We start from the raw sequence: 25,264 nt of genomic DNA on the forward strand, positions 1-25,264 counted from the left end.
AGCACTTTGGGAAGTGGAAGCGGGTAGATCACTTGAGCCCAGGAGTCCAGTCTGGGCAACATGGTGAAACCCCATCTCTACAAAAAATACAGAAATTAGTCAGGCATGGTGGCATGCACCTGTAGTACCAGCTACTAGGGAGGCTGAGGTAGGAGAATCACTTGAGCCCAGGAGGTGGAGGCTGCACCAGTGAGCCATGAGCGCACCACTGCACTCCAGCCTGGATGACAAGAGTGAGATCCTGTCTTTAAAAAAAACAAAAAAAGGAAGAAAGAAAAGAGAAAATGGACTCTCTAAAAGAATACACAGCACCTTTCAGATGACCAAAATTTAATGTTCAAGAGTAGCACAAATAAATCTCACCTTGATCCAGAGCATTCCCAGTGCTTTGAGGTACAGAAGCAGAGCCTTGGCTTGGGAAAAGATCTGCATTTGAAGGACTCCAATCAGGGCCAACTGGATGGATTTTAGAGCCTAAAATACAGAAAAGCAGCTACAAATAACTCAGCATTCTAAAGAGATTTTTAATGATTTTTACTGCTAAGACTTTTAATCTCTAAAAACAGCTTTAAATTCCAGACTCACAACACCCCAATAAATTTACTTAGAAAATACTGTATTATATTTTATATTTCTAATTTAAGATTCTTCCACTTTACTCAGGCAATTTAAAATTAGTCACAGCAAGTCTGCTTGAACCAGCAAAGACACATTATTCTTCACTGTGTTAGAAAACATCACCATCACATCCAGAAAATACTTTCCAATTCAAGAGACCTAAGGGTCTAAGGTGTATTTTATAAATGATATTTTAAGTGATACATGCACAACACAAAAGTAAATATGTGGATCCTTAATCCAGGACTTCAACTGCACTCTTTCACAAATCAGTATATTCAGGTTTTTTTCTACACTGATACTTAAATTTCAAAAGCCACTGCTTTCATTTTTCCTTACAGAAACAAAGCAAATATAACTCTTTCCACAATAAAATCCAGACTGCATGGTACTATTGCTTCACAGTAGTAGTTATGGTAAAATAACAAATAATTTGAAAATCAGCTATTTTTTTGCATATGATAATTGTAAGAGAACAGAGACAATACTGGCTATTACTTCTTCTGTCCAGGGGTCTGAATGATAAGGTCATTAAAGGATGCTTTACCCCAATTTTTCTACAATTCTCCCCACACTTTTTCCTCCCATTACAAAACTATGGCTTGTACCTCTCCATGTATCTGAGAAGTACACAGAATGCAAAGATCACTAACACAAGGAGCCTCTGCTATTTTCACTTTTAATCTCCCAATATGTTTAATGTTATTCTAAAAATTATCAGCAAATTCTCACATGTAAGCAGATATGAATATTTAACACCACTCATCAACATAATAGATTCAGAACCTCACATCCTATACAGATGACACCACAAACACATATGTTTTTACCCAAAAAGAAAAGTTCTCAAGTTATTAATATCAAAATTTCCTTAGTAACAATAAGGAACTTTTTAAAACAATTTTCAGGTTTATAAAGATATTATATTTTATTTCATTTCCTGAATAGAATTGTATTATTTAGGGTTAAGAAAAATCATCCTTGTACAACCAGGGTATCAATTTTAATTTTTTAAACGTCTCATTACACCAGCAAAGAATATAAAAGGATTTTTAGAATTCAAACATGAATAATGAATACAAAGAGAGATTTTTTTTAAACTCAAACTTGGGAGAAAGAATAGTGGGGACAGGAAGAACTAGGCTGTGCAGGACTTTTTACCTTTAGTTTGTGAAGCAGCCCCAGATCTCATGTTGGGCAGTGTCTGTATTTTCATCGGCCCCTCTGAAGCCTGAATGACCAAGGAACCATCCGGCAGGGCTGGCTTCACCAGCAATTCAGGCCTTGAGGGCATCCGAGGCATAGTAGACGACTGGATATAGGGACCTACTGCAGCCACACGGCTTGGGGCTGACGCGGCTTGCTGGGGAAGATTTCCATCAGATGAAACCTTAGGAAAGAAGCACAGGTCCTTTAGTATTAAAAATCATCTCAGGTGATCAGACTTAGAAACTAAGATGTGACATTTTCTTACTTTTTAAAATGAGCAGTTTCAGAATCTAGCCATAGAGTCTACAAAAAACATTCCAAAATAAACACTCCCCAATGAACTCTCACCCACACTTTATTACAAGTATTAGAGACAAACAGAGCTACACAGGTAATAACATTAAAAAGTAAAAAAGCAGCGGATTGTCTTTTAAGGATCCATAAACAGCATCTGTTTTCTGAGGGCACACTGAGTAATGATTCTGAAGAAGATGCCTATGAGTAACCTCACTGGGCTGGTCATCTTTTTCCCTCCTCCCCAAAACCATTACAAAACGGCCCACTTACTGGTAGATTTTCTTTTTGCTGTAGAGCTGCCTTCTTCTTCCACAGCCGGTCCCTCAGCTCATTAACACGCTTATCCATGACTGCCACTTCTGAATTACGCTTATTCAAACACTCCCTCTGTTGTTGTAGCTTGGCATTCTGCTCTTGATTCAATTTGTTTCTTAGCTGAATAAAAGAGAGGGGAAAAAAGGTAGCCAAGGAGTAGGAAGAAAATGTCTCAAACAGTTAATCACATGGTTAACTATTATATAATTTCTAAAAATATGAGGTCCCTCCACCCCTCCACACTTCTCATCTCATGGTTTAAAATTAAGTGACACCTGTGCAAGACCACCAGCTGTGGTTATGAGGAATGTCTCAAATTTCCTGTCTAGGGTACTATAAAGTTTACTCTGGATTCTCTGGAGTTTGGGTTCCCCCCACAACCTGCCTTCTCTTTAAGGAAAGGCAACTGAAATCTAGCACCTCTTGCTACTTATATGAGCAACTCTGTTTCTGGAAAGGAGGTTGTACAGCTTTTGGCAAACAGCTACGGTCTACCTGCAGCTCCTTATAGAGGCGATCAAGCTCAGCCACTGCAGACTGATTGTCATGGTGGCTGTCGATCCTGCCGTTCTTGAGCATCTCTAGCTGCCTGGTCAGTTCTTCTACTTTTGACACAGCCAGGACGAGCTCCCTCTGTTTTTGCTGGAACAAATTATTCATCTGTTCAATTTCCTCCACTAGATGAGACAGAGAACAGCAACAACAGTTGAAAAGAAAAATAAGAATGGACTACTTCCCAGGCAACCGGGCTTTACAATGAACTTTCTAATAAACAGTAGAAAAATTTTTCAGAATGTCCTGGAAGCAACCGACTTCTTTTAGAAGCAAGTGAAATCAACAGAGACATCTCTAAATCTCTGTGCTTCAATATCAATGTATATTTATCAGAATTTGCATTAAAAATATTATTAAACTCCAAATTTTAGAAACAATAAAAATTTCTTTAGAACTTTCAATTTTATAACATTAGGTGGATCTATTAAACCACAAACATTCTGAATAAAATGGTATCGTAATAGATGGAGCTATTATATGAATAAAAATCCTTGCCTTCATCAAATTCTCAGTCAAAAAATATTAAGGGGAAAAAATGCTACATTTTCCAAAGGTATCTTAGAAATCCTGTATAAAACATTCAACAGCTGAATTCAATTCAGAGGAACCTGCAGCATCAAAACTGCAGTAAATTATATTTTTTCAAAAGATACCCTTTAAAGTTATCTACAGATCAACCATGGTGGCTTGCACCTGTAACCCCAGCTACTCAGGAGGCTGAGGTGGGAGGATCACTTGAGGCCACGGTTCAAAAGACCAGCCTGGGCAACACAGTAAGACCCTGTCTCAAAAAAACCAGACAAATAAATGTATAAAAAAGTAAATCTATGAGGAACAACTCACCAAGTTTCCCATTGCTTAGTCTCTTCTGTTCCACGTGGCCTTTAAGTGCTCTCACTTTTTTTAGCTTAGCTTCCTGATTCTCAGCTATTTCTTTTAGCCTTTTAAGTTTCTCCTGCTCAGCAACTTGTTGCTGTTGTCGCTGATCTTGTTGTTTCAAAAACTTTAAGCGCTGTTCCTAAAAATAAAAGTAATCATTAGGTATGTCATTTTAGGTAAGTACACCACTAAGCTCAAAATAGCCTAACTGCAACACTTAGATGTTGAGATTGAGGTACACTTGTAACCCTGGTCTGGTCTCACCTTCTTCCTAAACACTGCCATCAGAATCACACTGGAAGTCTGTTCAAAACAGATACTCCTGAGCCCACCCTAGAATCTTCTGGGGATAAGATCCAGGAATCAGTATTTTTAACCCAAGTGGTTCTTATGCAGCAAGGATGCAGCAATTCTTGAACTAGTTTTCATAAACTGTTGCAACAATTTTAAAAAGCAGCTCATGTAGAAATGGGAAGCATCATAAGAAACTATTTAAATGCACAAGATTTGGAGTACATTTAGATTCAAACCCAGCTCTACCACTTATTAGCTATGAGACCCTGAACAAATTGCATAACCTCACCAAGCATGCAAGTCTATGTTTCTTCATCTATAAAACAGGGATGATCAATAGTAACTACCAATGTTACTATAGTGAAGATTAAATGAAGTGTGAAATGTAAATGTCTTTGAATGATATTTTACATAGTATATACTCAATAAATGGTCACTGAAAAGAGCTAAAGAAATATTTAACACCTTTAGAAAGCTGCAATCATGGAATCTGAAATTGTTTCTTTCCCCTGCCCCAAGGTACTTTTGTTATAGCAGAAATTTTGTTTTTATTACATTAAAATTTTTAACTAAAACTGAGTAACAGAGCCACACAATTTATAATCACAGGTAAACTATTTCTTAGATTAGTATGCCTAGAACATATAAGTAACATGGAAAGAATCAAAACAAAAACCCTGGCTAAGGCAGAAGGATCACTTGAACCCAGGAATTCAAGTCCAGCCTGGGCAACACAGTGAGAACCCATCTCAAAAGAAAAAAAAACCCACAAGGACTTGTTTTTAAGTCCTTGAAGACTAAAAAGCTTAGAAATTTGTTCTTCAACAACCAATCTTTTTGACTATATATCCTTGCTACTCAATGTAATGTGCATCAGCATCACCTGGAAGCTTGTGAGAAATGCAGAAGCTCAAACCTCAACTCACCTACTGAATCAGAATATGCATTTTCAACACGATCCCCAGGTGATTCATATGTATCTTAAGGTTTGAGAAGCAATGATATGCATGATTTTGGAAAAACTGGGGTCTGGTATTACAAACAGAAATGGATGCACAGGAACCCTAGGAAGTATGACATGAAGTCCACACTGCCTTGAGAACTGCCTTGAAGAATTCCTGGCCATTATTTCAAAGCCCTATTGGGTAACTTTGCCCATGACAAACCAACAATTGTCTACCCCAGCTTCAGTGACCTGATAATCACTAAAGGACTGTTAGTTGTGGATCCTGGGTGTTTAGACCAGGGGTTGACAAACTATAGTCTGCAGGCCAAATCCAGCTTGCTATCTTGTTTTTGTAAGTAAAGTTTTATTGGGACACAACCACACCATCTGTTTACCTATTATCCATGACTGCTTATAACAGCAGACCTGAGTAGTTGCAACAGAGGCAGCAAAGTTTGCAAAGCCCAAAATATTTACTATGTAGCCCTTTACAGAGAAAGGTCTGTTGGCTTTTGGGTCAGATTGGAAGCCTATGGCTGGCAGGAGAAGCAGCAGTTCTGATGGTAATGGAGTGGCTTCTTATATTTTCCTTGTTCAAGGCCAGGACTAGGGTTAGTTTGTGGATAAAGAATGTTCCCCAAATAAAGGCAAGCAGCCCGTTATTGGTGCCAAGCTCCAGAAGGGGACAGTATTAGATTAATCTGATCCAAGATTAATCTATGGTATGGTTATACCATGTTAGAACTTTAATATTCCTCTTGCTGTGGCCCAGAGTAGTTCCTAGAAGCAAAGATGAAGGGCTCTTTCCACCTTTCCTGTCTGGCTGATACCCATCATAGCATGGTTAATCTTGATCAGAATCAGGAGTCAGAAAGATCTTGAACAATTAGGATGATACAAGGATTTCTACAAAATGCTATAGTAAGGACTCAAAGAGAGCACAAAGAGAGCACCAAACAGCAGGTGGCTTTTGGGTTGATAATGTTACCTCATATCTGTGAGGTAATTGGCTTAATGGGGGTAGAATGTAAATAGCCTTACACATATATTAACAATAGTGGCCTGTTAGCTCTTTTAAAAGAAGATACTACCAGCCGGGCACGGGGGTTCACGCCTGTAATCCCAACACTTTGGGAGGCCGAAGTGGGCGGATCACCTGAGGTCAGGAGTTTGAGACCAGCCTGGCCAACATGGTGAAACCCCATCTCTACAAAACATACAAAATTTAGCCAGGTGTGGTGGCGTCTGCCTGTAATCCCAGCTACTTGAGAGGCTGAGACAGGAGAATCACTTGAACTCAGGAGGCGGAGGTTGCAGTGAGCCAAGATCGTGCCACTGCACTCCAGCCTAGGCGACAGAGTGAGCATTCATCTCCAAAAAAAAAGGACGATACTACCTTAGTTGCCAGCAATTGTTGCTGGGCTTCAATCTGTTGCTGCTGGCGAGATGCCATTTCCTGAAGTTCAGCAAGAGTCAGATCCATCCTAGGACTATTAACCTACAAGTAAAAACACAAATAAACACAATCCCAGCTTACTATAAAACTACCACAGAGATTCCGCCCTCAAAGGTCTATGTAAAAGCTTCATATGAACCAACTATGACAAAATTATTTAGCGATTTTTCTTTCATAATATCAAGCAGACCATTAATTCTTATATTAATACTCACCACATTGACTTTTTAAGATGTAATGTAAAACACACTAATATACAATAATCTTTTATTTTAAGTTGCAAGTTTAAAATTAAATAGTTTCAACAGTCAGGGACATAAATGGAACAATTCAGAATTACCTTGTTCTGTAATTTATATTACAACAGAAGTGTTTGATCATATTAAACATGGTATTGAGGCACTGGCAGCAAACCTAGAATTTAGTCATTGGAATATCATTTAAAAATACTTTAGCACTAAAAAATTCAAGACACATTGAGTCATCAGAAACAAAGCAAGGACATCCACTCTCACAACATCTATTCAACATTGTCCTAGAGGTTCTAGCCAATGCAATAAAACAAGAAAGAGAAATAAACAGCATCCAGATTGGTAAAAAAGAAGTTCAACTGCCTTCACAGACAATATAATCATCTATGAAGAAAATGCTATGGAATCTACAAAAAAGCTACCAGATAAATAGGTTACATAGCAAGACTGCAGGATTAAAAAAAAAAAAATCAATATGCAAAAGTCAAGTGCATTTCAATATATTAGAAACAATTAGAAATTTAAAATTTTTAAATTTAAATACCATTTATAGTATCAAAAATATGAAATACTTAGGGATAAATTTAATAAATAGGTAAGATGTATATACTAAAATCTCAAAAACTGCTGAAAGAAAATGCAAATAAATGGAGAGTTACACCATGTTCATGAATTGGAAGCTCAATACTGTCAAGACAGCAATTATTCTCAAATTGATTCAACAAAATCTCAACTGAAACCCAAACAGGCATTTTTGTAAAAATTGATGTTGATTCTAAAATTCATATGGAAGTACAAAGCATCTAGAATAGCCAAAATAACTCTGAAAAGAATCAAGCTGGAAAACTTACACTACCTGACTTCAAGACTTATAAAAGTTCCAGTGACCAATGCATGTGGTATTGACGTCAAAATAGACAAGTAGATCAATCAAACAGAATAGAGAGTACAAAAATAGCCCCACATACATGAGGCAACTGATTTTAGACAAAGGTGCAAAAGCAACTGAGTGGAAAAAAGAATAATCTTTCCAATAAATACTGCTTATACAATTAGATATTCATATTACAAAGATAAACCTCAGGGCCGGGCACGGTGGCTCACGCCTGTAATCCCAGCACTTTGGGAGGCCGAGGTGGGTGGATCACCTGAGGTCAGTGGATCACCTGAGGTCAGGAGTTCGAGACCAGCCTGACCAATATGGTGAAACCCCATCTCTACTAAAAATATAAAAACTAGCTGGGCATGGTGGCAGGTGCCTATAATCCCAGCTACTCGGGAAGCTGAGGCAGGAGAATCACTTGAACCTAGGAGGTGGAGGTTGCAGTGAGCCGAGATCGCGCCACTGCACTCCAGCCTAGGCGACAGAGTGAGACTCTGTATCAAAAAAAAAAAAAAAAATGAACTTTGATTCTCACACCATATGCAAACATTAACTCAATAGGGATCATAGATTTAGAGGTAAAACTGCAAACTACAAAACTTCCAAAAGAAAACAAAGGAAAAAAAAATCTCTATGACCCTGGGTTGGGCAAAGAGTTCTTAGATACAACACTAAAAGTATGCTCCATTAAAAAAAAAAAAAAAAATTGGATCCAGACTATTAGAACTTTCAAACTCAGTGAGAGAGCAAAAAATTGGGCAAAAGATTTGAACAAATAATTTCACCAAAGAAGAGACACAGAGAGCAAATAAGCACATGAAAAGATGTCCAAAATCATTAGTCATTAGAGAAATACAAATTAAAACCACAATGCGATACCACTACACATATATTTTAATGGCTAAAATTAAAAAGACTGACCATACCAAACTTTGGCAAGGATGTGGAAACAGTAAAACTCTGGTGGGCATGTAAAATAATATGATCGCTTTGGAAACACTTTGCAGCTTTTTAAAAATATATATATAAAGATATAATATATCTCTTTAATAGAAACACAGTCTCACTTTGTTGCCCAGGCTAGCCTCAAACTTCTGGCTTCAAGTCATCCTCATGCCTCAGCCTCTAGTTGGTGGAGGAGAAGATACATTGTGTCCATATGCACTAAAACAACGGCTAAGATCATTTTTATCATCTGCATTTCATCTTTTCATCATTGTAAGATAATTATTAAATCAAAGAAAAGCTCAGGCACCATGGCTAACGTCCGTAATCCCAGCACTTTGGGAGGCAGAGGTGGGTGGATCACTTGAGGTCAGGAGTTCGAAACCAGCCTGGCCAACATGGTGAAACCCCGACTCTACTAAAAATACAAAAATTAGCTGGGTGTGGTCACAGGCACCTGTAATCCCAGCTACTCGGGAGGCTGAGGCAGGAGAATCGCTTGAACCCAGGAGGTGGAGGTTGCAGTGAGCCGAGATCACACCACTGCACTCCAGCCTGGGCAACAGAATGTGACTTCATCCCAGAAAACAATAAAATAAAATAAAAATAAAAATAAGTAAATCAAAGAAAAGAAAAAGAAGAATCTGAAGAAAGACACAGTAGGAGAAAATGGTACTTAAGATCATCTGAATTCTACTATAAATGTACTGATGATTGGAGAAAGGTAGTTTAGCTAATCCCTAATGGCACTAAAAATAGTGACCGCTGAAAAGAAATGTCTTCAAAATATACCAAAGATGCATGCTCAAATTCACATGCAATAGCGAGAGTATAAATATATAATTTTCCTTTTTTTTTTGAGACAGAGTGTCACTCTTGTTGCCCAGGCTGGAGTGCCATGGCGCGACCTAGGCTCACTGCAATCTCTGCCTCCCGGGTTCAAGAGATTCTCCTGCCTCAGCCTCCTGAGTAGCTGGGATTACAGACATGTACTACTACACCCGGCTAATTCTGTATTTTTAGTGGAGATGGGGTTTCTCCATGTTGGTCAGACTGGTTTTGAACTCCTGACCTCAGGTGAGTCACCCACCTCAGCCTCCCAAAGTGCTGGGATAACAGGCGTGAGCCACTGCACCCGGCCAATTTTGCATTTTTAATAAAGTGATGATTGCAACAAATAAAATCACCAAATAAGAAATACTTCCTCAAACTTGCTCAGCATTTATTTTGTCTGAATTTGTGTCACATTAAACATACAACTTCTTCCAATAGTCAGCCATATACAGATCATTAAAATTAATAGTTTCTATGAAACAAATTTAAAATAACCTTTAAAAAGCGGCCATCCTTAGCCCATTGAATAACAAAGTAATAATGAATAAGATTTAAAGTTAAAAAATATGTATCACTGTGGTATATACAGTATGGATAAAAACAACAACTTACACCGTTCTCCTTTCTTCGATATTCACCAGGAACTTTTACACCATTTCTTTTTAAACTTGGATCCTGAGATCTTGGTCCACTCACTAAGGACAAAATTCAAAAACTATGCATTAACACTAGAGTTGACAGATATTTTAAGAACCAGTTCATTTCTGAGTTCTGTCATTACTGTTTGATATTTTAAGTTGAATGTATTCTTAAAACAAAATATTTTCTAATAGCAATGGACTTAAGGTCTCATAACTCAGTGTGTTTTGCAAAATTAATTTCATGGAACAGTGAATACTCAGCACTACTAAATATCACATGCCACCTATTCATTAGGAAAGCTGTCTGATTCACATACCAAAGGAGGAAAAATTAACAAACGTAATGTACTTCTGACTATGAGTAATTCATACCATTTGCTTATAGTTGCTCTTCCTAGTCATCTATTTAGCTACTCAGTAGTTAAACCAAGAAAAACTTCACTGAAATAGTTGAAAATTACATCAATGCATCCTTGTACTCGCTAACAATATTTTTAACTTATTATGAGAAGAAAGCACTTAAAAAAAGGAACAAGTAGTATCTTAATTATTTGGTTTATTGCAAACATTTTGTGGTAATTTGTAAGTACTATGAGGTACTTCCACATTTATTTAAGCAAAATATTTGTTTAAGTTTGTGAAGGTACTATCCAGAAACACTATATATTCTGCTTTTTTGGCTAAAAAGAATTTTTAAAGCCAAAATACATGGGTCTTTCAGTACCACTTAATGTATCATAAAAGGAAACGTCTTAATTTAAACTAATACATTATAAGAAGCAAATAATACCAACAGAGAATTTTAAAAATATATTAAGCTCATACCTGTACTTCCCAGAAATTAAAAAAATTATCAAATTACCTCCCAAGAAACTTAAGTAAAATGTCTATTATAACTGTCAGGAATCTTAGCACAAATTCCCATTGCTAATAAACAAATAAATAAACATGTCTACTCAGAGCCAAGTATCACACTTGCACCTAATTCTAATATGATCAGCTTTTATTTTTAAAATGCAGCTCAATTATCTGGCAAAATAGCTCAGGTAATCTGCCACAATATTTCTGTAAGAAAAAAAAACTTCTATAATTTCAGAATAATTGCTTTCTTTGCTGTCTTAAAGAGAGAGCACTTAACTAGTTTCTCCTTTGTATCATCAGTTACCTAATTAAAGTAAGCAATAAGAGCCTTAAACATAATTTCATATACATTCAGGGTCACAGGTCCTAATTGAATTGGAAAAAGAATATGGTGACAGTCTCCTAATCCTTAATCGAGAGGTCTAGACCAAAAACAGTAAGTTAACACCTTAATAAAGGAGACTGAAAAACAATCCTTGTTTTATCCCAATTTCAACACTATGTGGCACTGGTGTTTTGTGACAACGTGAAAACAGCTCCTTTATCTTCAGATTATATTTCTCACATTACTGACACTGAAACTGCATATTGCACTATTGAGAGACTATTTAATAATTTATCCAGTACTATACAGCAAGATATTTGAACAGGTAGATGAATGGGTAAAATTCAACTAATTAGATGAGTGCATGTGATGTAAATAGAGAACAAAAAAAAAAATAAGATGCAAATGCCAATATAAAACTACAAAAAAAAAAAGAAAAAAGCCTACGGAAAAAAATACATGTTTACTTAAAATAAAATTACAGACACCAGTGATACTGAAAGGCAACCAGGTAGCTTGGCTGAGGTGATTCAGGTTCCACTCCTGGCTCTGCCTCTAGGTGTGTGGCCTCTGACAAGTCACTTAACCCCTAAGTATCAGCATTTCTCATCTGTAGGGTAGAAGGGGCCAAACTAAGTCAATTCTGCCCCTCAGCTAACCCGTACTATAAATTTAATCATTCCTAATGGTCAGGTACCATATAGACACTTGCGTTAATGCAACAGTTAGTTAATAAAACTGAACTTTTTTTTTGGAGACGGAGTCTCGCTCTGTCGCCCAGGCTGGAGTGCAAATGGTGTGATCTCGGCTCACTGCAACATCCGCCTCCCGGGTTCAAGCGATTCTTCCACTTCAGCCTCCCAAGTAGCTGGGATTACAGACGCCCAGCTAATTTTTGTTTTTTGTTGTTGTTGTTGTTGTTGTTTTCGTTTTTTCAGATGAGTCTTGCTGTGTCGCCAGGCTGCAGTGCGTGGTGCCATCTCGGCTCACTGCAACCGCCAACTCCCTGATTCAAGCGATTCTCCCGCCTCAGCCTCCCGAGTAGCTGGGATCACAGGCACATGCCACCATGCCCAGCTAATTTTTGTATTTTTAGTAGAGACAGGGTTTCACCATGTTGGCCAGGATGGTCTGTCTCGATCTCCTGACTTCGTGATCCTCCCGCCTCGTCCTCCCAAAGTGCTGGGATTACAGGCGTGAGCCACCATACCCGGCCTAATTTTTGTATTTTTAGTAGAGACAGAGTTTCGTCATGTTGGCCAGGCTGGTCTCAAACTCCTGATCTAAGGTGATCTACCCACCTCAGCCTCCCAAAGTGCTGGGATTACAGGCATGAGCCACCGCGCTCAGCCAAAACTGAGCTTTTGTAATGTCCAATAACCCTGCTCGTTCTCCCACATCCTACAAGACTGCTGGGTCACAGGGATGGCTGTGTCCCCAGTGTCTACTGCTGCTTCCCACCCACACTCTCTCTCCACCCTCCCCCTACAGTCATCTATAAACTCTGGTCACAATCCCTGGTCACTAACGATGTGACCAACTGACTCCCTTGTTCTCTCCACCTCCAAGTCCTGCCTTCATTCTGGATGACATTACCGCCCAAATGCTAGCCTCTCAGTTCTAGCTTTCTCGTCTCCACTCTAATTCAGCCTCATTTCAGGGCCCCACCTGGGACCACAACACTAGAAGCCCTCTACCTCCGAAATTTTCAATTCAAACCTTCTGTTTTTTGACCACTATTTCCTTTCAATCTCAGGCGTCTCACTCATTTCCTCTCACACCTGTTCTTTCATCTAACTGAGACTCACAGCCTCTTAACTCTGTCTACTCTTTCCCCACAGCCCCTCCTGTCTTCACTTCTTCCCCACCCAGCTAAGGTATCACCTTGCCAATACCCTCTTCTCCCCTGTCCCACTGAACTCCCATTGAATTTGTCTAGAAACCTTGGGTTTTCTAGACAATTGCCTAGAAAAATTTGTCTAGACACCTTTGTTTTCTTCTCTTCTTACAACCCACCTGGGCTGTAGACCACCACTGGAGAAAAATCATGTATGGTCTCATGGTCTCTAATCTCAACTGGCCTCAATGGTTCCCAGCAGTCTGGCTTCCCTAGTAAGCCCTCTCTCCTAATCTCCAAAACAGCTCCAGCTTCCCACCCACCTCCATCATCACTCCTACCTCAGAGAAAACAAATGTTTTTAGATGAGAAATCCCTCAACTTACTCCCACAAAATGCACAAATTTAGCCACATCTGCCACAGTTTTATTTCTGTCCTGTTATTATGGAAGAGGGATCCTTCCTCTTGTCTAAGAGGACTTTCTGCCTCAGGGCTGTGGAAGGACCTAATCAGGGACCCTGCCTAACAAGTATTTCCTTTCTTATAGTTTCAACCCCCTGCTCTAATGACTCCTTCCCACCTGCATTAAACAACTATAGTCAAACTTCTCCCCTCGACAGCCTATCTCCACTGTTTCCACTTCCTAACCTCTCCTTCACCTCTCAAATTACCTGGCTTCTCATCATGTGCCACCTACTACTCCCAGCACAAAATAAAAGCTTAAATATCTGTCACGATTCACAGAGCACTACCTACCAATGTCCCTGCCAGGGGGGCGTTCATGACGAAGGAAGAAGCGAACTTCGTTCCTCTGACTTCCAAATCGTTGAAGAACATCAAACATTCGCTCATTATCCGCAACTGGACGTTCTAAAGCAAATGAGTAGAAACCACATTATTTTCAGGTAAAAGAAAGATAAATATATCATTCACCATCTATCCTTCATGCAAATTATACATTATGGATACAACAAATGCTTAGTATCTCAGGTAAATTTTTTTCATTAAAACACGTCTTAGAAACTGAAGTCACACAGATTTTCCACACACACAGAGTCAAGCCAGGGTGGAATACTACAAAAGGCAATGCATCTCAGCCAGCTGTCAGGAGCTCAGCAGTCTAAATCCAGTGGGCTCCACGCTGGCCACAGGTGCACCATTTAACTTCTGTGGTTCCAAAAGTTTCTGTAAAATCTATATTAGATCACATAGTCCCTTCTAACACTAATATTCATGATTCTCCGAATATACAAAGAAAATATTAAAAAGCAACTTTCTAAATAGCCTAGTCTTTTTTTTTTAATTGTAGTTTTCAATACAGGCTATTTTTAAATTATAATTTTACAAACAATATTTAAAAAAATCAGACCCATCCATTTCCAAATAAAAGTCTATTTACTGCTGTAAAATGTATCTATATTTGCCCCTCTTCCAGTGAGAATACCAGTGTCAGAATTTTTCTGGAAACAAAAAGAAGGGCACACCTAAATACCTAGTAAAAATAGAAGCTTCAGGAGAAACAATATATCTCAAGCTGTCCTAAAAAAATCTTCCAATCTCAAGGGATCTGGATATAAAAACGAGACACACTGTTTGAGGAGGCAATTGCTTAAAATCAATGAAACTCCAGTAATGTCAACATGATTTTTAAATATAAGAATGTTGAAATACCCTAAGAAAACTCAACACATTTATCAGTAATCAAGGACACTATCTTAACACCTTAAATAAACATGGGCAGAGAACAGAGCAGGCAAGCATTCACCAGCCAATTTGGTGAACCAACCCTGAACTTAATCTGCTTGGCTGCAACAAAATGCAGTTCTGGTTCTACTTCCAGTAACATAACATACTGAGTTGACATAGATAATCCCCTTTTATAAACCACACATATTCTAAGACCTCCCCCAAAAAGGATACACCACAGTTAGAGAGAAACACCTCCAAAAGAAATTCTGAGTAGCCCTTCCACCCACCCCTACAAAATACACACACACATGCTGTACTCAAAACAAGTAAAATCTCCAGGTTCCAGGAGCAAAGAGAGAACTCAAAGGAAGTAAAGTAGCTTGCTGTCCACGCTGGACTGCCCCAGAAAGATATGGACTTCTCACAAGCTCTAGGCTAACATCCCGATGGCCCTGTGATGGCAAAAGATCAGGCATAGGCCTGCATAAGCTGAAACAGACACTTAAAGGCTCTCAAAGCTCCCTACTAACACTCATGTGCCAGCCACACCTACGGTCATGCACTGCATGTTGACAGTGGTCCCATAAGATTTTAAGGCCATATTTTTACTGTACCTTTTCCTATGTTTAGATACACAAATATGTACCACTGTGTTACAACTGCCTACAGTATTCAATACAGTAACATGCTGTACAGGTTTGTAGCCTAGGAGCAAAAGGCTGTATACCATATAGCCTAGGTGTGTAGTAGGCTATACCATCTAGATTTGTGTAAGTACGCTCTATGATGTTCACACAACAAAATCACCTAATGACAAATTTCTCGGCACGTATCACCATTATTGACACATGACTGTATCTCCTTGACAGGGCATTCCTGCCTATGTGACTCTGAACATGCCATTCCTATCATTCATCATCTCCCCCAGCACCCTTTTCTCCTGCAGATGAAATACATCTATTACTGCAACTATCACATTGTATTATAAATGTCTGTGGATACTTGTTTCTCTTTGTGCCCTGTAAGATACCTGAAGGCAACTTTCATCTCTGTATCCCTCTCAATCAAGTGCAGTCCCTAGCACATAACAGGCATCCGAGAAATATTCACTAAGCAAATACACGAGTGGGTAGTGAGGAAATGCAAAAGGAAACAAGACAGGAGAGGAGAAGAAAGGCTAAACACTTAGAGAATTAAATAATAGGGGAACACATTTACACCTCTGGAATAAGAATTTTTTTTTTAATAACACACTAATAGGCCTAAGATCCTGAATGGTTTTTAAATGCCTACAAATCAAGAGGGAAGGGAAAAAGCCAGAGTAAACATGAGCAAAGAATATAAAGAAACAATTTCAAAAACCAAAAAGCCAAATGGCCAATGAACAAATGAAAAAACAGGCAACCACATTTGAAATCAGAAATATGCAAATTTAAACAAAAGTCAGGTTTTCAGCTATCAGTTTAGTAAAAGTTAAAATATTATAACTTGATGAGGAATACATCTAGAAATAACTGGAAAGGGTATGAACTGATATAACCTTTGCAGAAGGAAATCTGACAATATATATTACATTTTCAAATGTGTGAACCTTTATGTTAATGTGGTTCATGATAGTAACCTTTTTACTACCTATGGGTATCCCATAACATCATGTTGTATACCTTAAATATACACATTAAAAAAAAAAAAAAATGTGTGGCCTGGCCAGGCACAGTGGCTCACACCTGTAATCCCAACACTTTGGAAGGCTGAGGCTGGAGGATCACTTAAGCCCAGGAGTTCAAGACCAGCCTAGGCAACATAGCAAAACCCCATCTTTACAAAAAATACAAAAATTAGCTGGGTGTGGTGGCACATTCCTATAGTCCCAACTACTCAGGAGGCTGAGGTGGGAGGATCACTTGAGCCTAGAAGGTCAAGGCTGCAGCAAGCCAAGACTGAATCACACTGCACTCCAGCCTGGGCGACACAGCAAGACCTTGTCTCAATAAAAAAATAAAATATTTCACATCAATTACTGCATGTGGAGGAGGGGGAGGGAAAGGAGGAGGGGGAGAGAAAGGATGAGGGGGAGGGAAAGGAGGAGGGGGAGGGAAAGGAGGAGGGGGAGGGAAAGGAGGAGGGGGAGGGAAAGGAGGAGGGGGAGGGAAAGGAGGAGGGGGAGGGAAAGGAGGAGGGGGAGGGAAAGGAGGAGGGGGAGGGAAAGGAGGAGGGGGAGGGAAAGAAAGAAGAAGAAAAACAAAATTTTTTTTGAAAATTTAAAAAATGTATGAACTTTTAACCAAAGAATTCCATTTTTGGCATCCACCCCCTAGAGAAATGCTTGCATAGGATCAGAAGAGGTTCCTAAAAGGATTTTTACTGCAGCACTTATTAAAACAAGATAATTTATTTAAATATTTGTAAATAAAGCAATTGTTAGCTCAACTATAGTTTATGCATACTGGGGGAAATTATGTGATAATTTAAAAATAATGTGGTGGCTCATGTCTGTAATCCCAGCACTTTGAGAGGCTGAGGCAGGCGGATCACTTGAGGTCAGGAGTTCAAAACCAGCCTGGCCAACATGGTGAAACTCCATCTCTACTAAAAATATAAAAATTAGCTGGGCGTGGTGGTGGGCGCCTGTAGTTCCAGCTACTCAGGGGGCTGAGGCAGCAGAATCACCTGAACATAGGAGGCAGAGATGGCAGTGAGCCGAGATGGTGCCACTGCACTCCAGCCTGGGCAACAGAGTGAGACTCAGTCTCAAAAAAAAAAAAAAAAAGATACAGATTTACACATACTAATCTGAAAAGAAAAGATCTACAAGCTATGTTGTAAGGTAAAATAGTAAACTGGAGAACACTGATATGTATGCTACTGTTTACATAAAGGAAAAATGGAGAAACAACACAAAAATATTTCTACAGTTACTTATAAATGCAGAGAAAAGGTCTGAGAATTATCTGGCTAAAATCATAAGTGATTACATCAAGAGATCAGGGGAATCGCTTAGGACAGAGACATCCATTCTGTTTATATTATTACCTTTTTTAAACACTAGAGGCTGATCGTGGTGGCTCACACCTGTAATCCAGCACTTTGGGAGGCCGAGGCAGGCGGATCACAAGGTCAGGAGATCGAGACCATCCTGGCCAACATGATGAAACTCTATCTCTACTAAAAATACAAAAAAAATTAGCTGGTGTGGTGGCGCGTGCCTGTAATCCCAACTACTCGGAAGGCTGAGGCACGAGAATCACTTGAACCCAGGAGGCGGAAGTTGCAGTGGGCCAAGATCGCACCACTGCACTTCAGCCTGGTGACAGAGCAAGACTCCATCTCAAAAAAAAAAAAAAAGAAAAGAAAAGAAAAAGAAAAAAATCTAGAACACATATCGGTGTTATCATTAAAAAAAAATTTTTTTTTTTTGAGACAGAATCTTGCTGTCACCCAGGCTGGAGTGGAGTGGAGTTGTGCGATCTCAGCTCATTGCAACCTCTGCCTCCTGAGTTCAAGGGATTCTCCTGCCTCAGCCTCCCCAGTAGCTGGGATTACAGGTGTCCACCATCATGCCTGGCTAATTTTTGTATTTTACTTTAGTAGAGGCGGGGTTTCACCATGTTGGCCAGGCTGGTCTCAAACTCCTAAACTCAGGTGATCAACCCTCCTTGGCCTCCCAAAGTGCTGGGATTATAGGCGTCAGCCACCGTGTCCGGCCAAAAATTTTTTAATTAAAAAGTTGTGCCAGATGCAGTGGCTCACACCTGTAATCCCAGCACTTTGGGAGGCCGAGGTGGCGGATCACCTGAGATAGGGAGTTCGAGACCAGCCTGACCAACATGGAGAAAGCCCGTCTCTACTAAAAATACAAAATTAGTTGGGCGTGGTGGCGTATGCCTGTAATCCCCAGCTACTCGGGAGGCTGAGGCAGGAGAATTGCTTGAACCCAGGAGGCGGAGGTTGCAGTGAGCCGAGATCGCGCCATTGCACTCCAGTCTGGGCAACAAGAGCGAAACTCTGTCTCAAAAAAAAAAAAAAAGTTGTAAGAAAGAAAATCCTTTACATGTCATCATCACATAGTAAAGGTTATTAAATTCAAGTGAGCAAGAGGAATAAGTGGGATCAAAAGTATCAAGGAACAGAGTACAGCCCTGGCAAAGATAGAACACTTCTTCCTCTATGAAAATGAGAAGAAAATGGAGACACACAGAGAGAATCTGAGGTAAAGAGTAAGAAAACTGAGGGGCCAGGCGCGGTGGCTCACACCTGTAATCCCAGCGCTTTGGGAGGCCGAGACGGGTGGATCACGAGGTCAGGAGATCGAGACCATCCTGGCTAACACGGTGAAACCCTGTCTCTACTAAAAATACAAAAAATTAGGCGGGCATGGGGGCGGGTGCCTGTAGTCCCAGCTACTCGGGAGGCTGAGGCAGGAGAATGGCGTGAACCTGGGAGGCAGAGCTTTCAGTGAGCCAAGATCGCGCCACTGCACTCCAGCCTGGGCGACAGAGTGAGACTCCATCTCAAAAAAAGAAAAAAGAAAACTGAGGAAGCACACAATGGATGGTTTCAATTATCTCAGTAAAGAATAAAGCAAGGTAATTTGCTAAATGCAAGGAGGTTACCAGGAGCAGCTAGAAGTTCATTTCCTCATTCTGCAAATATTTCTACAGCATCTACTAGGTACAAGGCACTCCCCTTGAGCTGGGGATACAGCAGTGAACAAGATAAACAAGGTCTCTACCCTTAAATAGTTTACATTCTAGTGCATATGTTTGGGGCTATCAGGATAAAAGGAGCAATAAACTAATAAACACACACAAAGAGTGACGGGCCTTCTGCAGAGGATTACATCAGGATGATGTAACTGAGAACTAACTTCATGGCTACTTTTGGCAGGGTGCTCAGGAAAAGCCTCTCCAGAAGGAGATTAACATTTTAGCTGCAATCCAGAAGGAACCAGCAATGACAGTATCTGGAGACAGAGCAATACAAACAGTGGGAATGGCTATCACCAATGACTCTAAGGTGGGAATGAGCTTAGCATATTCGAGAAATATTTTAAAAGCTGCAGGAAGAAGCAGAGAAGAAAATGGTACCAGATAAGAGCAAAGACAAAGAATCTACAGAACTTCACAACCTAATATTAAAAGTTTGGATTTTATTCTAAGTGGAGGAGAAGTCGCTAGTTTTAAGCAGGAAAGTGAAATTATCTAATTTTCATTTTCAAAAGATCCCTTGGGCTTCTTCATGTGATTGTTCTAATCTGGTTCCTATGTAAACAGAAAAGAAAGTAATTCGGAGACTGCAGAAGACCTTCTAGAACATCCAACTGTAGAAAAGTTAACCAAAGATGAATAAAAGGACTTGCCTGAAAAGAAGTGGGGGCTCAGCTGAAGTTAGCTATCATGAATGGCATGAACTCAATTAACACAGTGTGTGACTTGCTCTGGGGATATCTGGCATCCCCAGAGGTGAAAAAGGAAACCAGCAGGAGTTCATCCAGCCTGTGTAGGAACAAGGCAGAAATGATGAAAAATTACTCCCACATCTACCACCTCCTATGGAGCCAAAAAGAAACCAGGCTATCCCATTTTAGAGCTCCAAAGAACCATACAGAAGGATTGATTTCAAGGCTTACAATAATGCCCACGAGTTCACCACTGCTGTCTGCCACTACAGTTCCTCGACACTGAGTAGCTTCCTCTAAAAACCTACAGAAATTGAGAGAAGGCAAACCAGTTAGGATGCCTCAAATTTCTAATTAAGTAAAGCTTACACATACAAAGACACTGTTGAGCACCATCCACTGGACCACAACAGCCCAGATGACCTTTTGTATTTTATATTGTGGTGTCTCCATTTTATTGGAGAAAAAGAAAACCGAAAAAGACTTCATGTATCATACCAAAGCTGGATCAGGAACACTATTTCTGCCGGACGTGCTATTCTCCAGTTTCTCCCCGGAGAAACATGAGCATTCACACAGTGCCACGTCTACAAACCAACATTAATAGAAGACAGAAGAACTAAAGCACGAGGCTGTCAGCGTCTCTCACCAGAGCCACACCACACTTCAGCCAAATGGCAATCACTCTCGCCGGGTTCTTTGCACAGATCCACCACGTCTCTGCATATTGTTTCTGGAGTAACTGGAACTTCTGTGAAGTGCTGCTCATTGTTACTGAGATACACGGTAAGAAACATCTAAAAATTAAGAGAGAAACACATGGTTACTGGTACTGTCTGCCTAATGTGGTATTCACCTTAAATTCCTTTCTCCAAACAAAATCTCAGTTGGAAGTGCAAACGTACAACAGAACAGTCTGGCTGTCACCCGGCCAAAGGTGAGGTGTGGACTGGGGGTTGAGGGAGACCTGGAGCCCAGCCCCTACCATGGGGCAGTAGCTCTAGAACCCTTGGTGACCCTAGAATACAGTCACATCAGTTCAAATTAAATCTGTTTTTGCCAGTTTTATTCATGTTGTTTGCCAAATACTTATATATGCTGGACCCATACTACAAATATATCTTCCTGTCAATCCTGTAAAGGTTGATGCGACAACCTCATCCATATATACTTATTTATGCACAGTCTCTTTTTTGGAAGGACACGTAAGAATGTAACACGCTGCTTCTGAAGTGGAAGCAGGAGGGAACAGAGCTTGTGGGGCAGCTCTGTATAAACCTAATCTTTATATAATGTACATATATTACCTATTCAAAAAATTGTACTTTTTTTTTTTTTGGAGACAGAGTCTCACTCCATCTCCCAGGCTGGAGCACAGTGGCATGATCTCGGCTCACTGCAACATCCGCCTCCCGAGTTCAAGTGATTCTCCTGTCTCAGCCTCCCGAGTAGCTGGGATTACAGGCGCATGCCATATCACACCACACCACGCCATGCCACATCTGGCTAATTTTTGTATTTTTAGTAGAGACGGGGTTTCATTATGTTGGCCAGGCTGGTTTCAAACTCCTGACTTCAGGTGATCCACCCACCTCGGCCTCCCAAAGTGCTGGGATTACAGGCGTGAGCCACTGCGCCCGGCCAAAAAATTGTACTTCTAAAATGTTTTAAGCAAATTAAATACCTACTTTGAAGTACAAGATTTCATTAACAAAGTATAAGTAGAAATGAGTAGCTGTTATGTTAACACCTACCTGACCTTGTATATAAACACTGAGACCAACAGAAGGTTTACATTTAAAACTCACTAATAGGCTGGGTGTAGTGGCCTACACCTGTAATCCCAACACTTTGGGAGGCCAAGGCGGGAAGATCATGTGAGTCCAGGAGTTTAAGACCAGTCTGGGCAACGAAGCAACACTCCGTTTCTACCAAAAATTAAAAGAAAATCAGCCAGACATGGTGGCACATGCCTGTGGTCCCTGCTACTTGGAAGGCTGAGTGGGGAAGACTGCTTGAGTCCAGGAGGTCGCAGCTGTAGTGAGAAGTGACTGCACCACTGCACTCCAGCCTGGGTGAGACCCTGACTCAAAAAAAAAAAAACAACAAAAAAACCTAACAATCTTGACAATCTTTCTCCTAGTAAAAAAAGACACTGTATCTTAGAAACACTGCTACTAAAGAATTAAATTTTTCACACCTATTAAATTACAAAAAAAAAAATCTTGTTAATTTCCAATGCTGAAGAAACGAAGTGAAACAGGAAACAAGTTTTCGACAGTGATGCAAATTAGTAAGGCTCTATGTTTATTCAATTCAATGAGTAACTCCATGCAAGTCAGTATGTATCAGGATTAAAAAATAATAATTTGAAAGCGTTACCTCACAGTGAGAATACATCCTGTGAAAATAATTCCAATCAAAGAAAGAGAATGCATAACCTATGGAACATAAACTTGAGGGACAAGTTTAGTCTTTTAAAATCATTAATGAAACTATGCTAAGCACTGGGAAAAGTTTGGGTTTTAAGACTGCAAAAAAGCAGAATAAGTAGGATATACCCTATGACCACAATGACAGGAGGACATCACACAGCAATTGGAGGGCCTACCAACAGTCACACAACTCCCCTTCCAACTTAAATGTCTCTGCCCATTACCCCCAAGTGGAGAAAGCTGCATTAAGATGTTGCTTGGGAAAAGGCAGCACCGGATTAGGGATGATGATGGAAACTGGCTAAGACATCAGACTCGGTGCCTCAAGAATTGGTCAGAGAAAGAGGAGATATACATGAGAGAAAGAGCGGACCCTTGCACTCAAGCCAGTCCAAGCCTCCACATTCTGCAACCAAAGCTGTTAACTCACATGAACAGGTATAACAGAGGGTAATCCAGAAAAATTAAAATAGTGAACACTGTTGAAACAATTTTTTAATGGAAAAATAAAAAAACACTGTAGACTTTCCCAGTATGAGCTCAAAAGCTCTCAAGCTAATTATCTCAGGCTTTTCACATTTTGACTACATAAAGGTACACAGTTCTAGAGTTCAACTTAGCCAACAAGGCAGCACTCAAAATTATTACACAAAAATCATAAAGCCTTGACTAAATCATTGAAAAAATAAAACGATTAACAAAGCACAGAAGTACACTCGTCTGCTGCTCCCAAAGTATACAGCATATTCAGTGATGGAGACAAATAATGTACACTTTAGCATTAAATACTCCCTCTCCATACTCCCTACCGATGCAAAAACTTGCTTTGAAGTTTATCACTTTGAAAATAGTAACTTTTCATTGTAAATATGAAGCTTAGAGGTGTTAAGTTACAGAAATACTGGAAATACAGAGTATATGCTAAACACACACCTTATCAACAAATAAAAGCCTATTATGTAAGATAGCACCTTACCTCTGTAAACTTCATCTTTCAGACACATTATCTCAGAAACTTACATCAACTCTCAGATAAACAGCAGGTGTTATTTTCTCTTTATAAATGAAGAAAAAGACTCAGATAAGTGATCTATTTGCCTACTGAAATGAGAAAGGTACAATTCTGTTTTTCTGATCTATCCTCTATTCTTTAAGCTGTCCTTTATAGAAAGAAAATACTAGGAAATGCTCCATTTAACCACAGTTACCCACACTTTAACAGAGATCTGATCTTTTACTTTCTGGAAAACCAACAGCTTCATTTATTTAAAAGTACAATTAAAAATAAGAATGATGACAGATGTGTTCTATTTATGGTTACTTTTCCCACAGGTTTAACACTGGTATGAACAGTAAGTGTACGAGTTGACCCCGCTTCTACCTGTAATGTATGGAGATTAGCTCTGCGGTGATTTTAGTAATTGTACTGCAGTCCGCGATGCTGGGCCAGCAACACGCTATTTTTGTCGATTCCCAGGCAGGAGATCTAGTTCAAACTCCAGATTTCTTCATAATTAGTTAGACTACCTTAGGCAAGTAATGTCACCTCTCTGAAACTCAGCATCCTCATCTTCAAAATGAGTCTTTAAGTTCCCCAATAGCTACACGTTTACCTACGTAACAAACCTGCACATCCTGCACCTGTATCCCAGAACTTAAAATTAATTTTTAAAAAAAAAAGTTCCCTAAGAGCTACTATTTAGTAAATGTTTACTAGGTACCAGAGTAAAAGTCAACATTTTTACAGCAGCCTACAAGGTCTGCTGTAGTCATGATCTGGCCCCCATTTCCTTCTAATCCCCCCTCACTCTGTGCTCTATCAGCGTCCTCTTTGCTGTTCATCAAACACACCAGGCATGTTCCCAGGTGGGAGCCTCTGTACTTGCTGTTCCTCTATTTGGAATGCGCTTCTTTGTATGCCAGTGTAACTCTCCCTTCCTCATCTCCGTCACGCCTTTACTCAGATGTCACCCTCTCAGTGAAGCCTTACCTAGGAACCCTACCTAGAATTCCAACACCAAACACACACACACACACACACACACACACCCTAGCCCATTCTTCTGCTTTATTTCCCTCCTTAGCACAGTCACTAACATGTCATATGTTATATTTATTTAACTCATTTTTATTATCTGCCTTTCCTACTAGAAAGTAAGCTCCATACAGTCAAAGGTTTTGTCTTTGTTCAGTGTTGTAGACTCAGCGCCTAGAACTGTGCTTGGTGTGTAACAAGTACACACTAAGTATTAAATCCTGCAAATGTGATTGCATTTTACAGATGAAAACACTGAAGCACAGAGGGATTTAAGTAACTCACCCAGGTCACACAGCTATTAAGTGGCAAAACCAAGATTGAGCCCCTTCCTTGAGAGCATACAGGTAAAGACTCTCCTGAATCTGGACCACACGGTGCCAAGTGTGTCACTGCCTCTAGTTCTGTCTTTTAGAGCAACATTTTGCCCACAATCCATCATCTCACCTGATTTATTTTCACGGTCAGTTTTGTTTCAGGTACTGCTAAACGGTATGGCATGTAGCGTGTAGCACAGCTATATACTCTCAAATGAGAGAGTGTGTTGTCCACTCATATCT

At 39.8% G+C, this 25,264-nt stretch overlaps 1 protein-coding gene across 5 annotated transcripts in view; it reads right to left on the reverse strand.

The window, feature by feature from the left end:
* The window catches only part of TP53BP2 (tumor protein p53 binding protein 2), a 66,055-nt gene that overhangs the window by 20,444 nt on the left and 20,347 nt on the right, over positions 1-25,264 (reverse strand). For 2 of the 5 annotated variants that reach the window (NM_001031685.3, XM_047429498.1), the window contains exons 2-10: positions 20,884-21,031; positions 13,904-14,017; positions 10,095-10,177; positions 6,510-6,611; positions 3,838-4,012; positions 2,935-3,116; positions 2,395-2,559; positions 1,780-2,008; positions 364-474 (exon numbers count right to left, since the gene is read on the reverse strand). In NM_001031685.3, coding sequence (NP_001026855.2) covers positions 364-474; positions 1,780-2,008; positions 2,395-2,559; positions 2,935-3,116; positions 3,838-4,012; positions 6,510-6,611; positions 10,095-10,177; positions 13,904-14,017; positions 20,884-21,031 — 1,309 coding nt within the window. Of the gene's footprint in view, positions 1-363; positions 475-1,779; positions 2,009-2,394; positions 2,560-2,934; positions 3,117-3,837; positions 4,013-6,509; positions 6,612-8,770; positions 8,790-10,094; positions 10,178-13,903; positions 14,018-17,869; positions 18,002-20,883; positions 21,032-25,264 lie in introns of those variants that run through there. The other 3 variants (NM_005426.3, XM_011544268.3, XM_011544269.3) reach the window with 3 other exon arrangements.

The sequence above is a fragment of the Homo sapiens genome, chromosome 1 (genome assembly GCF_000001405.40).
Source record: "Homo sapiens chromosome 1, GRCh38.p14 Primary Assembly".
In the NCBI taxonomy this organism is placed as follows: domain Eukaryota; kingdom Metazoa; phylum Chordata; class Mammalia; order Primates; family Hominidae; genus Homo; species Homo sapiens.